General features: G+C 39.0%; 1 pseudogene; it reads right to left on the reverse strand.

Annotated features, from left to right (window-relative positions):
• NCLP2 (nucleolin pseudogene 2) lies at nucleotides 8,730-9,725 on the reverse strand (annotated as a pseudogene).

Below are 14,750 nucleotides of genomic sequence, written 5' to 3' on the forward strand. Positions count from 1 at the left end.
AAAAACCAGGCCATACAGAGATAGGAGCTGAAGGGACACAGTGAGAAGTGACCAGAAGACAAGTGTGAGCCCTCTGTTATGCCTGGACAGGGCCACTAGAGGGTTCCTTGGTCTAGCGGTAGTGCCAGTGCCTGGGAAGGCACCCGTTACTTAGCAGACTGCGAAAGGGAGTCTCCCTTTCCCCTGGGGGAGTTAGAGAAGCCTCTGTTCTACCACCTCTTGTGGAAGGCCTGATATCAGTCAGGCCCGACCGCAGCCATCCGGAGGCCTAACCATCTCCCTGTGATGCTGTGCTTCAGTGGTCATGCTCCTGGTCCACTTTCCTGTTCCACCCTGTACACCTGGCTCTGCCTTCTAGATAGCAGTAGCAGAATTAGTGAAAGTACTAAAGTCTTTGAAATGCATAGAAGAAATAATGACGTAAGCTGTCCCCTCTCTCTCTCTCCGCCTCGGCTACCAAACAGGGAAGGGCCCCCTGTCTGGTGGACACGTGACTTGCATGACCTTACCTATCATTGGAGATGGCTCACACTCTTTATGCTGCCCCCTTGCCTTGTATCCAATAAATAATAGTGCAGCCAGGCATTCGGGGGCCACTACCGGTCTCCACGTCTTGGTGGTAGTGGTCCCCTGGGCCCAGCTGTCTTTTCTTCTATCTCTTTGTCTTGTGTCTTTATTTCTATGATCCCTCGTCTCTGCACATGAGGAGAAAAACCCACAGGCCTTTTAGAGCTGGACCCTACAACCCACTGCTGTGAAACTTCAGGACATCACTAGCTGAGTACACCTATCCAGGATGAAACCCATTTCTTATGAGTCCCCACAAATGCAAAAGAAGAACACCATGACCTATACCTGTGAATCTTTGGAGTACCTCCACTACCTATTTAAAAGAATCAACACTCAGCCAGAAGTGGTAATGTGATGCTGTGAGTGGGAATAGGAACATTAATTTTTCTCTTCTTCCTGATTGTATACTTCTTTTCTATTGCTTTGGCCACTTGCCTCCTCCTGGGAAATACCTCTTTTGTCCTTGTTGGGTGTAGAGGCCACTCTAAGGTCCAACCAGACACCATGCTGCCACTGTTAATCCTGTTTGCCATCCTGATTAACCTAATCCAGTGTGGTGGGAATAAAACTCTACAGTAAATATTTCAAAAATCATAACATCAAGGAATCATCTTCATGATTGCTGCATTTGTCATCAACATCCCCACGATAAAGAGTTCCACTTTCTGACACATCTGGAAAACCTCATGGCCATCTCCCTGGACCTCCTAATTAACCATAGTGATCCCTTAGTACCCAGATCCTTACTTGTTAGGTGGAACTCTTTCCCACTTAATGAATTTGACCTAACTGCCCCTGCCACTATTACCTGGACCTGGGAGATTGGGTACCTGTACTTCAGGTGTCCTAATGACACTATGTTTTGCACTCATTGTGTTAATGACACAAAAGTGGATACTTTCCTGACATGCTCTGATCCAATCCTAGTTGCCAAATTCCTGAGGCCACAGACAGGTAAATGGGATCCCACTTGTAAGTGAGAAAACAACACATGGTGCTTCCTCCTCGATCAGAACATGCAAGGGGAAAATAACTGTCTAATCTAGGAAGGTAAGAGTACTGGCTTCTTCTGGAAAACAAAGGATGTTTGACTACCCCCATTGGAGCAAGGGAAATATATCTATAGACACGACTGGGTAACAAAGGATAGACATCACATCTCATAGGACTTCTATTTGTGCCCCAACTGGGCTTATTTTTGTCTGTGGCCATGAGTAAGTAGAAGTCCCACCTCATAACCACTCCTGACTCCCTGGGGAGCTATCTGTTCTTTTAGGAGTAGCTTTTCCTTGTATACTAAAAACTAGAAATGGGGTGAATGTATACTGGCCATCATTGCCCCTCTGGGAGTCACCATCTATAATCCCATAAGGCCCAGGAATATCAGAAATAAATGAGCAATAGGGTTAATTCTGGCAGGAATCGAGACAGTAATAGGACTAGTGGCCCCCTGGGGTGGCTTTGTCTCCCATTAGTCAATCCTAAAGAACTTGACTCAAACCCTAGAATCACTGGCCACCAATATAGGCCAGGCATTAAACAGAATTCAAGAGTTCCTAGACTCTTTGACAAATGTTGTCCTTGACAACAGACTAGCATTGGATTATTGGATTATTTGCTAGCTGAACAAGGTGGAGTCTGTGCAGTTATTAATATGACCTGCTGCATGTACATTAATAACTCTGGAAAATCGAGGTTAACATTAGGAAATCTATGAACAAGCTACCTGGTTAGATAGATGTAACCAGGGCACTGACCCCAGCTGTATCTGGTCACTTATCAAAAGTGCCCTCCCAAATCTTGCCTGGTTTTTACCTTTCCTAGGAACTTGCTAGCTATCCTGTTACTACTAATTTTTGGCCCTTGCTTGTTTAACCACTTAGTAAAGTTTGTGTCTTCCAGATTACAGTAAATCCATGTAAAGAATGCTGGCACAAGGCTTCCAACCCATCCTGTATTCTGACCTGGAGAATGAAAATATCCTGCCCTTGGTTCCGTTAGATCAGATATCCAGAAATTTTTACTCCTCCAATGCTAGGCAGGGCCTATGCCCATAAAAACAGCAGGAAACAGTTACAGAAGATGGATCTCTGACCTGCAGCTCCTTTAAGATTAAGGAGGCATATCTAATCTCCGAGCAGGGGAATGAGGTAGGAGAAAAGTAGCACTTGTTTTCTGGACCAGATAGAAAACCAGCCAGAACCAGCAAGTGGCACCAAAAGCAACCTCTGGTTGCCCTTGCTGCCCATCAGCATAAGACACTCCCCCCACCGGTGCCGTGACAGTTTACAAACTCCATGGCAGCACCCAGAAGTTACTGCCCATTTTCTAGAGATTTCTGAATAACCCACCCCTTAATTTGCATGCAATTAAAAGTGGATATAAATACAGTTAGCCAACAGCCTACACATTGCTATTGTTTTTAGAAAATTTTTATTTTTAATTTTTGTGGGTACATAGTATGTGTATATATTTATGGGTTACATGTGATATTTTGATATAGGCATGCAATGCATAGTACTCACATCAGGGTAAATCAGGTATCCATCACCTCAAGCATTTGTCCTTTGTGTTGCAAACAATCCAGTAATACTTAGTTATTTTAAAATGTACAGTTAAATTATTTTTTACTATAGTCACCCTGTTCTGCTAGCAAATACTTTGTCTTATTCATTCTTTTAAACTATTTTTTGTACCAGTTAACCCTCTCCACTTCCCCCAACCCCCATGAGCTTCCCAGCCTCTGATAACCATCCTTCTATACATGCTGCATTACCTATGGGCTAGCCCTGCTCTGCAATGAGCAGTCACTGAGCTGTAACACTGCTACTTCAATAAAGCTGCTTTCTTCCACCACTGGCTCGCTCTTGAATTTGTTCCTGGGCAAAACCAAAGACCTGCTCTGCATCAATTGGCTGTGTAGAATACCCAGAATTATCCACAGATGCATCATTAGAATATATCACTGTTGCTGGATACAAAATCAATATGCAAAAATCAATTGGTATTTCTGTATAACAGCAACATTTAATAAATGAAATTTTAAAAGGCTCTACCATTTAAAATTGTATCAAACTATCAAGTCTTTAAGTTTAAAAAATGTGTGCAAGACCGCTAAAGAAAACACTCTAAATGCTTATTGATATATATTAATGAAAATTAAATAAATTTAAAGTTACACTATGCTTATAGATTGCAGGACTCAATATTGTGAAGACTCTTAAAGAAACAGGAGGAAGGATTTGCTTTAGCAAATGTAAAGTTATTATAAAGCAATAGTAATTAGGACACTTTGGTACCAATATAGTGATGTACACATAGATGAGTGGATAGGCTAGACAGCCCAGAAACTGACTCTGAGCCTGCTTTCATGGCTGCTTGATTCGTGACACTAGTAGCATTGCAGAGCATTTAGAAAAGAAAATGTTTCCAACAAATAGTGTTGAGACAACAGGTTATACACTTGGAAAGAAATAAAAATAAATCCCCTACTTCACACCAGATATGGGAAAACAATCTCAGGTGTATTTTAGAGCAAAATGTCATAGGCAAAATAATAAAGCTTGTAGAAAAAAATGTAGAAGAGCTTTTCACACCCTCTGGGTATGGAAGGATTTCTCAAACAAGTCAAAAAATACTAATTATAGTGGGAAATGTTAAAAAAATTATGAACCACATTAAGATTAAGACCTTTTGTTCATAAAAAGACAACATTACTAGCAGGAAAAGGCAAGCCACAGAATGTAAGAAGATATTTATCAAATATTTAGGTGACAATAGCTTAGTTCCAGAGCACATAAACGATTCTTAGAAATCAAAGAGAGGAAGACAAATAACACAATAGTAATGGCCAAGAGACTTAAACAGAACATTGTCCAAAGAGGAAATCCAAATAGCCAACATTATTAATCATTAGAGAAATGCACAGTGAAACCACACTGCAGTATCATTTTATATACCCACCAAACTGACTAAACTTAATGAGTCTAGTAATATCAAGAGTTGGTGAGGATGTGGATCAGTAGGCAATTTCTTTTTGTTTTTTCTTTTGGAAACTGATGAGTGCTAAAGTAGGCAATTTCATATACTGCTGTTGAGAGCACAAATTAGTTGAATTGCTTTAGGGAAGAGTTTATTGTTTGTTATGTATTCAAGATGAAGATACACATTCCCTTATGACCCAACCATTTATTTCCCTCTTAAATATTTACCCCAGAGGAATTATGCGTATGTGCACCAGGACACAAGTAAAATAATGATCATGTCAACATTATTTACAATAACCCCAAATTGGAAACAACTTGAATTCCCATTGAGTGTAACCTGGATAAAATAATTGTGATAGATTTGTACAATGGAACACTATGCATCAACAAACATGAAAAACTGAAATCACACATGGAAAATCCTGGATTAATTTTGAAAATATATTATTGAATGAAAGAAACCAGACCAAAACAAGTACGCACTAGCGTGATTATATTTCCATAAATTTTAAAGCCAAGAAGAAACTCTGTTGCTTAGAGATGCATATTAAGAAGGTAAACCCTGTAGAGAAAAGCAAGGAACTGATTACTGTAAAGGACATCATGATTGCCTCTAGGAAGAATACTGGAGTTGTCAAAGGGAATGGATTATGCCTGTTGCTGATATGTTTCTGTAAATATCTGGATGCTTTATAATAGTTTAATAAACTGTACATTTAGTCTTTATGTACTTTTCTGTATGTTATCTTTAATAATTAAAACGATTAAATTATGTGTTGCCTAAAGGTTTTTTTTTTTAATTTTTGAGATTTTGGCCAGGTGTGGTGGCTCATGCCAGTAATCCCAGCTCTTTGGGAGGCTGAGGCAGGAGGATCACTTGAGCCCAGGAGTTTGAGGTTACAGTGAGCTATGCTGATACTGCTGTACTCCAGCCTGGGTGACAGAATGAGATGCTGTTTCTTAAAAAAAAAAAAAAAAGAAGAGAGTGCGTAATATAGGCAACATGGGTTATTAAAGATTGGATACATTAAAAGGGAACTGAATTTAAAGTCTAGAGGCCTAGGTTTGGTCTCCAGCCTTACTATTCAGTAGCTCAGTAGCTGCGAGCCTTTGGGAATATTTTTTTCTTACTAGAAGAAAAATTATATTTTAATATTTCATGAAAATAGAAGTAAATTAATGTTTTAAAGGCAAGCCATTATAGTATTTTAGCTATGCTTTCTAGTTTGCCTGGGAGAGTCCTATTTTATGCCTGTTTTCCTAGAATAATTTTTTTTAATACTTTTAAGTTCTAGGGTACATGTGCACAATGTGCAGATTTGTTATATATGTATACATGCGCCTTGCTGGTGTGCTGCACCCATTAACTCGTCATTAACATTAGGTATATCTCCTAATGCTATCCCTCCCCACTCCCCCCACCCCAAGACAGGCCCCAGTGTGTGATGTTCCCCTTCCTGTGTCCAAGTGTTCTCATTGTTCAATTCCCACCTATGAGTGAGAACATGCAGTGTTTGGTTTTTTGTCCTTGTGATAGTTTGCTAAGAATGATGGTTTCCAGCTTCATCCATGTCCCTACAAAGGACATGAACTCATCCTTTTTACGGCTGCATAGTATTCTATGGTGTATATGTGCCACCTTTTCTTAATCCAGTCTATCATTGATGGACATTTGGGTTGGTTCCAAGTCTTTGCTATTGTGAATAGTGCTGCAGTAAACATACGTGTGCATGTGTCTTTATAGCAGCATGATTTATAATCCTTTGGGTATGTACCCAGTAATGGGATGGCTGGGTCAAATGGTATTTCTAGATCTATATCCTTGAGAAATTGCCACACTGTCTTCCACAATGGTTGAACTAGTTTACAGTCCCACCAACAGTGTAAAAGTGTTCCTATTTCTCCACATCCTCTCCAGCACCTGTTGTTTCCTGACTTTTTAATGATTGCCATTCTAACTGGTGTGAGATGGTATCTCATTGTGGTTTTGATTTGCATTTCTCTGATGGCCAGTGATGATGAGCATTTTTTCATGTGTTTTTTGGCTGCATAAATGTCTTCTTTTGAGAAGTGTCTGTTCATATCCTTTTATTTTCTATTTTTTATTTTTTTATTTTTATTTTTTATTATACTTTAAGTTTTAGGGTACATGTGCACAATGTGCAGGTTTATTACATATGTATACATGTACCACGTTGGTGTGCTGCACCCATTAACTTGTCATTTAACATTAGGTATATCTCCTAATGCTATCCCTCCCCCACCACACCCCCAGCAGGCCCCGGTATGTGATGTTCCCCTTCCTGTGTCCATGTGTTCTCATTATTCAATTCCCACCTATAAGTGAGAACATGCCCACTTTTTGATGGGGCTGTTTGTTTTTTTCTCGTAAATTTGTTTGAGTTCTTTGTAGATTCTGGATATGAACATGCCCACTTTTTGATGGGGTTGTTTGTTTTCTTCTTGTAAATTTTTTTGAGTTCTTTGTAGATTCTGGATATTAGCCCTTTGTCAGATGAGTAGGTTGCGAAAATTTTCTCCCATTCTGTAGGTTGCCTGTTCACTCTGATGGTAGTTTCTTTTGCTGTGCAGAAGCTCTTTAGTTTAATTAGATCCCATTTGTCAATTTTGGCTTTTGTTGCCATTGCTTTTGGTGTTTTAGACATGAAGTCCTTGCCCATGCCTATGTCCTGAATGGTATTGCCTAGGTTTTCTTCTAGGGTTTTTATGGTTTTAGGTCTAACGTTTAACTCTTTAATCCATCTTGAATTAATTTTTGTATATAAGGTGTAAGGAAGGGATCCAGGTTCAGCTTTCTACATATGGCTAGCCAGTTTTCCCAGCACCATTTATTAAATCGGGAATCCTTTCCCCATTTCTTGTTTTTGTCAGGCTTGTCAAAGATCAGATGGTTGTAGATGTGTGGTATGTTTCTGAGGGCTCTGTTCTGTTCCGTTGGTCTGTATCTCCGTTTTGATACCAGTACCATGCTGTTTTGGTTACTGTAGCCTTGTAGTATAGTTTGAAGTCAGGTAGCGTGATGCCTCCAGCTTTGTTCTTTTTGCTTAGGATTGTCTTGGCAATGTGGGCTCTTTTTTGGTTCCATATGAACTTTAAAGTAATATTTATAATCTTCTCTGACACTATTTGTTCAACTACAAAATAGGCATAGCACTTACTGCTTTACTCATATATATCGATGAGGCCATGCTTTTGAAAGACATTTGTAAGCCATTAAACACCACACATGTACAGTGTCTATAAAGGAAGAACAAAAGGCAAAATATAAAAAATAAATGATTTAAAAACATTGATGTCTGTGAGAGAAAATAGTCACAGGAAGACATTCCTAGGTCAGTTTGCTGAATTATCTATCTTGGAAAGGTGGTTTAAAACAGATTTAATAAGATTTTATTTTTTCTGGCATCAGAAGTTAGGACTTGTAATTTGTCCCTAAGTCTGCTTTCCTTTACCAGCTACCCAGGCATAAAAACTTGTCTATAGGGAAAATGTTTTTGTACATGGGATGAAACAATATAAATTCAAAATTTACATGCGAGGATTGTCTTGATCTCATCTCTTTAAAAAGTTTATATGAATATCCAGTCAAAACCAATGGAAAATCTCCCTTGAAATTTTATATAAATGGAATTCCAAGTATGCTGCAAGACTGCATACTGTCTTGCAATGTCCTCTGAAGACTCTGACATTGATCATGTAATAAAACTCAAGAGTCCTTACTTTCAAATGGAAAGTAAAATGGAATGGAAGAAGAAAAGACTGAGGGATAAAAGAAACTATTTCAACTTGATCTTCTTTCATTGTGGCTGTGATGCCCTCCTTCTTTTCCTCCTCAGAAGTCTCTCTGCCTGGCTGGGCGCGGTGACTCACCCCTGTAATCCCAGCACTTTGGGAGGCCGAGGTGGGTGGATCACCTGAGGTCAGGAGTTCGAGGCCAGCCTGGCCAACATGGTGAAACCCCATCTTTACTAAAAATACAAAAATATTAGCTGAGTGTAGTGGCACATGCCTGTAATCCCAGCTACTCAGGAGGTTGAGGCAGGAGAATCACTTGAACTCAGGAGGCAGGGGTTGCAGTGAGCCAAGATCATGCCATTGCACTCCAGCCTGGGGGACAGAGGAAGATTCTGTGTCAAGAACAAAACAAACGAAAAGTCTCTCTGCCCCCCAAATCCTATGTGGTCTCTGCCAACAAATCCACCTTTGCCTCTTCTTCCACCCCCTTTACCTCCAAATTCTCTTCTGCCTTCTTCAGCACCTCCAAAGCCATCTTTGCTTTTAGGCTTGGCCTAGTCTAAAGTAACTTCATTTTCATTAATTTTGCCATCTTCCATGGCCTCCTTAGTGGATTTAGCATTTTCCTTACTGCTGCAGTCGAGAAACCAAACCCATCCTGGTTGGTGACTATCCTGACATGAACAGAAGCATCAATGAACTCTTTCAATGTTTCTTCTGTAGTGTCCTCAGACAGACCCTGAGAAACACTTTCAGATGGCTGGCTTTTTGCATTAGTTGCTCTGGGTCTTTGCAGCTTCAGTGTGATTGCTCTGCCCTTGATTTCTCTTTTATTACAGGAATTTAAAGCTTCTTTAGCATTTTCAAAGGAAGCAAATCCTATCAGTGCATACCCTATAGATCTGCCATTGTGGTTCTGGGGCACCTTGGATAGAAGTTGCCTTCACAAATACTTCCTGCAAAGTTTCTTCTGTTACATTTTAGGAGAGGTTGTTTAAAACCAGTTTTCAATGTACTAATCCAAGAGGTACGCTTTTCACATCTGTAGTCCTGATTTTGATCTTTTTCTCCAGTTTAGTAGAGGGAAATAGACTTCCCTTTGGCTTCTGTTCCCTGCTTTCCTTCCAAGGTTTTCTCTGCATCAGCTTCTGTCTTAAATTCAATGTAGGACATCCCTTTGCTCTTTCCATTGTCACTGACTAATCTGATCTCCATAGAGTCTTCAAACACTTCTTTAAATTCATCCTGAATGACTCCAAGACAGAATTTTGAATAAAAGTGTTATGAAATCTCAATCTTATTTTTTCCCTTTGGCTTTTCTGGTTTAATTTTATTGCCAAACGCTTTAGAACTAGTGAGTTCCAAGGCTTTTTCCAGGTCAGAAGTTTCAAAATTCACACAGCTAAGCTCCTAAGATCCATTAATACTGACATCCATTTTCTATTTCTTGGCTTTGGAAGCTGGTTGCTGTTTGGACATTTCCTTCTTCCATTTTCCAGGTGCTTCTTTGGTAGGCTCTTCCTCATCATTGTCACTGTCTTCCCCCTCATTCTCCTCTTCTTCACCATCTTCCTCATTGTTCTCATCATCTTCATCATCGTCCCTGTCCTCTTCATCCTCCTTGTCCTCAACCATGCTTTTGGCCTTCACAGGAAGAGATTTTGCATGAACTTTCTTTCCTATCAAAATTATAGTAAATTCATTGCATCTTCTTTAGAGTTATTTTCCTCTTCATCACCTTTGTCCTCCTTGTTGTCTTTGTCATTTTTGTTTTCCTCATCATGGCATTCTTAGTATTCTTTTCCTCCTTAGCTGGTGTGGTGGTTCCCTTCTAGCTAGTGGTTGCCTCAACTGCTTTTCCCAGTGTGACTTCTTTCTTGCCACATATTGCTGCTGCTTTGCCCAGTGCGACTATCTTCTTGACTGACAATATCTGCTGCCATTTTGCCTGGGATGACAGGTGCTTTCTTGACAGGTGTGGAAACTTCAACCTTGTTGCTTTTGTCGGAGTTGTGTCTTATTGCCTTTTCCCCCCTGAGGTATAATAAGCTCATTTTCGCTGCTATCTTTATCATCTCACATGTCCTCATCTTCACTATCTTCTTCTATCTTCTTTGGGGTATAAGCCATTTTCTTGAGTGTGTCTTAATTTTAACCAGTCATCATAAGCTTCACCATTATGGTCGCTTGTGACTGTGCAGTGTGTCACAGTGGGTCCCAGAAGAAGCCACACAATGTTGATGGTGACTGGAGGCTACTGAAGATACAGAAGCACACATATCAGGCTGCTAGCTAGAGTTCAAGACTGAGGCAAAAGAATAGGAATGTTTTTAAAAACAGCTTTAATAGAAATGGTTCATTTCTCATGACAGAAGGTGAAATATATATTTCTGCTTATTGAATTATACTTCTGTATATTTGTAGTAAAATTTTTAGCATTTTCACCACGATGTTTGTAGGTTATGCTTTTTCTCCAATATTTGTGGCCACTGTCTGTTTTGCCAACATCATAGTATTTATTTATTTATTTATTTATTCACTTATAGCATTTTAAAGAGTTTCACCAATGAACTGGTTGGTTTTCCCCTCACGATTTTATATGTATGGTTACTATGCTTTAGGTTTTCAGTGCTAATATATATAGAACTCTTCTGGGTATCCCCATTTCCTTTCTACTTCTTTGAACATGTTCAGGAGGAATTTTATGTAAACTTATCAGGGTGGCATATCTTAAATGCTCCTTGCTAGAATTCAATTTCAGCATTTTATACTTGACAATTTTTTTGAGCTAATTCTGATTTTCTTCATGTTTTGATAGTAATTGTAATATAATTATAATTTAATTAAATAGACACTTTAGAGGTAAATTTTATTATTTATTAATTTATTTATTCGGGACAGAGTCTCGTTCTGCTGCCCTGGCTGGAGTGCAGTGGCACCATCATAGCTCACTGTGGCCTTGATCTCCTGGGCTCAAGTGATTCTCCCACCTCAGCCTCCTGAGTGGCTGGGACTACAGGTGTGTGCCACCACACCTGGCTAAATTTTTAAAAAATTTTTTTGTAGAGACGAGATGTTGCTATGCTTCTCCAACTCCTGCCTTGGCTCCTGCCTCCAACTCCTATTGCTCAAGCGATACTCCTGTCTTGGCTTCCCAAAGTGCTGGGATTACAGGCATGGTCACTGTGTCTGCCCAGTAAATTTTATTGCGAATTCTAATTCTTCAAGATGCTTTAGACTGTAAATTAATTTTTAATTAAACTTTAATCCAAGACAAATGAATTGAACTTAAATTTAAAATTGAATTAAAATGTAGCATTTAAATTCAATTTATTCATTTTAAAGTTTAATTTATAATTCCAAGAAATAACATATCAACCTGAAGAATTTGAAAAAGAAAATCCAAAGTGATTATGGTTTGAAAAAATAGAAAATAAGATTTAGAAAAATTTAAAAAGTCAGGTGCTTTTCAGGTATAAACAAAATTTTAGATGGGAAAAGTAGGGTTTGGTACAAGAATATTTCAATTTATACTTATGCTGGTCCCTGATTTTGAAGTTTTCCCTCACTTACTAAGGTATATGCACATTATCTTAGGTAATATTCAAACACATTTATTCTAGCTTTAATAAACAAAATGAAACGTTCTTGTTGAAGCTGTTTGCAGGCATAATAATCAGTAAATTTGGCAAATATAGTGAATGGATCGTTTGGTAAATTCCTTATGTGGTAAACTGGATTTGAAGAGTTGACCTGCATTTAGAGAGCTGTGGTCCTGCATCACAAAGCAAGGCAGAGAGACTCCTCAACACCATGGCTATGCCTGGCTAATCTAAACTGCATGCTTATGCATGGAAGAGAGGTGGCTCCTTGTTGGCAAGGTGTCTTTTCAGCCCCACTTGGATTCTGGTCCCGTACTCACAGGTCCTATTATAGGTTTCGAGCTTTCATGCCACACTGAGAGTAACTAATAGTAATTTTAGCTATCATTTGTTATGTCTTTACTACTTGTCAGGCACCATACTCAGTGCTTTATAAACCCTGTCTTTTATAATACCTACAGCCTCCCCCACCTCAATTATTATCCTCATTTTTCCAAATCAAGCATCTAAGGCTGAGTGTGGCTAAGTAATTTGCCCAAGGTCACACAGCTAATGAGTGGTAGACCAGGAATTTAAAATCATATTAGTTTCCCTCTTAAATAGTATACTATGTTTTCATCTGGGTGATCTTGACACCTTTGAAGATTTACTTTCCTAGGACACTAGAATGTCTTTAGAAATCAAGCCTTAAACATACTGGTAATTAGTGGATAGGCAGACATTTTCTTTAGGCTCAGAGGATTTCACAGACATAGACATAGTCTACTGTGCAAATCTTTGATTAATGACCAAGTGAATACTTATGGGGTATGCAGAAATTCAGTTGAAAGGAGGATGGAGCTACAGTTCCACACTGTGGTGTTTATGGTGGTCTCTAGGGATCTCCCTCCTCCTTTTTTTTCCCTAGAGGTTATCAAGAGTTGGTAGGGTAGTGGGCCAGGTCAAGATGAAACAAGCTATTTCAGTAGAAATCCCTAAATTGTGCTAAGGAGTCATTTGAAAGAAAAAAGTAATTGTTCAAATCAACCTTTGTTTCTTATTTGCTCATAGTAGAAGTCTCACCAGTACTTTATCAGCTCTGTGACTTACTTGACACTCTCAGTATCCTGACCTGGTTAGAAAGGAAACCCCAGTTATGCCCAGAAAAATTAGTTAGGGTACTGCCAAAAATTTCAAGAAACATGGTCAGAGACAACTACTATGTACCATTCATATCTTATTGAGTTAAAATATGATTTGATAAGCAGGTGCAAGATTGGGGATCATTCTGGTTCAAAAATTTTAGTTGAATTAAATTCACTGGAACGTGACCATCTTCTTAAGAGCAGAAGCAGTATGCTGTCTGTCTTTGTTTACAGAGCTTCTGGAATGGTTCCTTTCACATGATGGGGCAGAATATTTATTGAGAAGTATCTACATACTCAATACACTGTGTTCTTGGCAACAAACATCAAATTAGAAAAATACAATGAAAAATTGAACAGACATTAGCACTTATTATGTGCTCAGGATGTGTGTAGTACACCAGAAAGAGCTTAATGGCCCTGGGTTCAAATCCAAAGCCTGTCACTTAATGTCTGTGGGACTTGGGTAAGCCATTTAACCTCTGAGCCACAATTTCTTCATCTATATGTGGGGAAACACATACCCACTTTGCAGAGTTGTTTAAAGGATTCATTTATTCATTTTACCCTTTGATTATTAAGCCTTACTGTGTGATGTGATGGGCAGTGTGCCAACCTTTACAGCCCAAGAAACTGGTGCTCAAATAATCTCTTAGTGATATCAGAATGTCCAATTAGGGGTACTTCCTGGAAAGATTGGAAAGAGGTGATCTAGGCAGGAAACAAAACCTCTTAAAGATCACTTGTTCTAATACTTCATTTTACACATAAGTAAAATGGGACTCACTAAGAATGTGTGTCCATATGTAATTGTTGGCGTAAAACCAGTCTCCTAGTCCAGCTTCTTTTTACCACACCAGAACAGACCAGAACAATATTCATAGGCCACTTAATGTCTTAAACTCCAGAACCATATTGAGTTAAAGGGGCAAAGGAGATACAATTCTAGTCAGGAAGCTGGGCAAGATGTGTTAAATGAGGCTGTTTGAAAGGAATGTTGAGAGGGAGTGAATGGAGTGTTCAGGGGTAGCTGGCAGATGTGCTTCATCTAGTTGGGCCTTAGGTCCCAAAACAGCCATGCCAGTGAACGCGCAGCATTAGGACAGGTGGAGATTTTTGTGCATCAAGGACCTCTACTCTCTGGCTCTTGAGGACTTTCCTCTTCCTGTTAACAGTTCTGAGAATTGCAAGAACAAATGTTAGAGCTATAATACTGTTCATGATACCTACCGCAATGAGATAGACAAGGACTGGAGAAATAACATTACTTCTATTTTTGAGGAAGAACTATTTCCATGAGGTAATTGTTCACATAAACATTTTGTCATTGGCAAAACCAAGGGACATCCCTTGTAATAACAAGGGATCATAAACTGGAACTAGCCCTATTATCTTACTCTTAACTCTAGTATACACCATTAGAAATCATCATGAGCAATATTCTAGTAAAGTATTGCTTATGATCAGTGAAGTTAGCAGTCATGTTTGTCATAGAATTTGATGCATACTAGAATGGATTTACTTGTAAGAGAAGGGGAGGAAGGGGGAGGTGGAGACAGACAGAGAGAGAGAGAAGAAAATAAATGTTGAGCATACAAATGAATTTCAACATTCACGTTCCAAAAACATCACATAGTCCGCGGAGATAAAAATACACAAAGAATTATGTAACATAAGTTTGACACATATTAAATTCCTGAAATTCAACTGTG

Source organism: Homo sapiens, chromosome X (genome assembly GCF_000001405.40).
Source record: "Homo sapiens chromosome X, GRCh38.p14 Primary Assembly".
Lineage (NCBI taxonomy): Eukaryota > Metazoa > Chordata > Mammalia > Primates > Hominidae > Homo > Homo sapiens.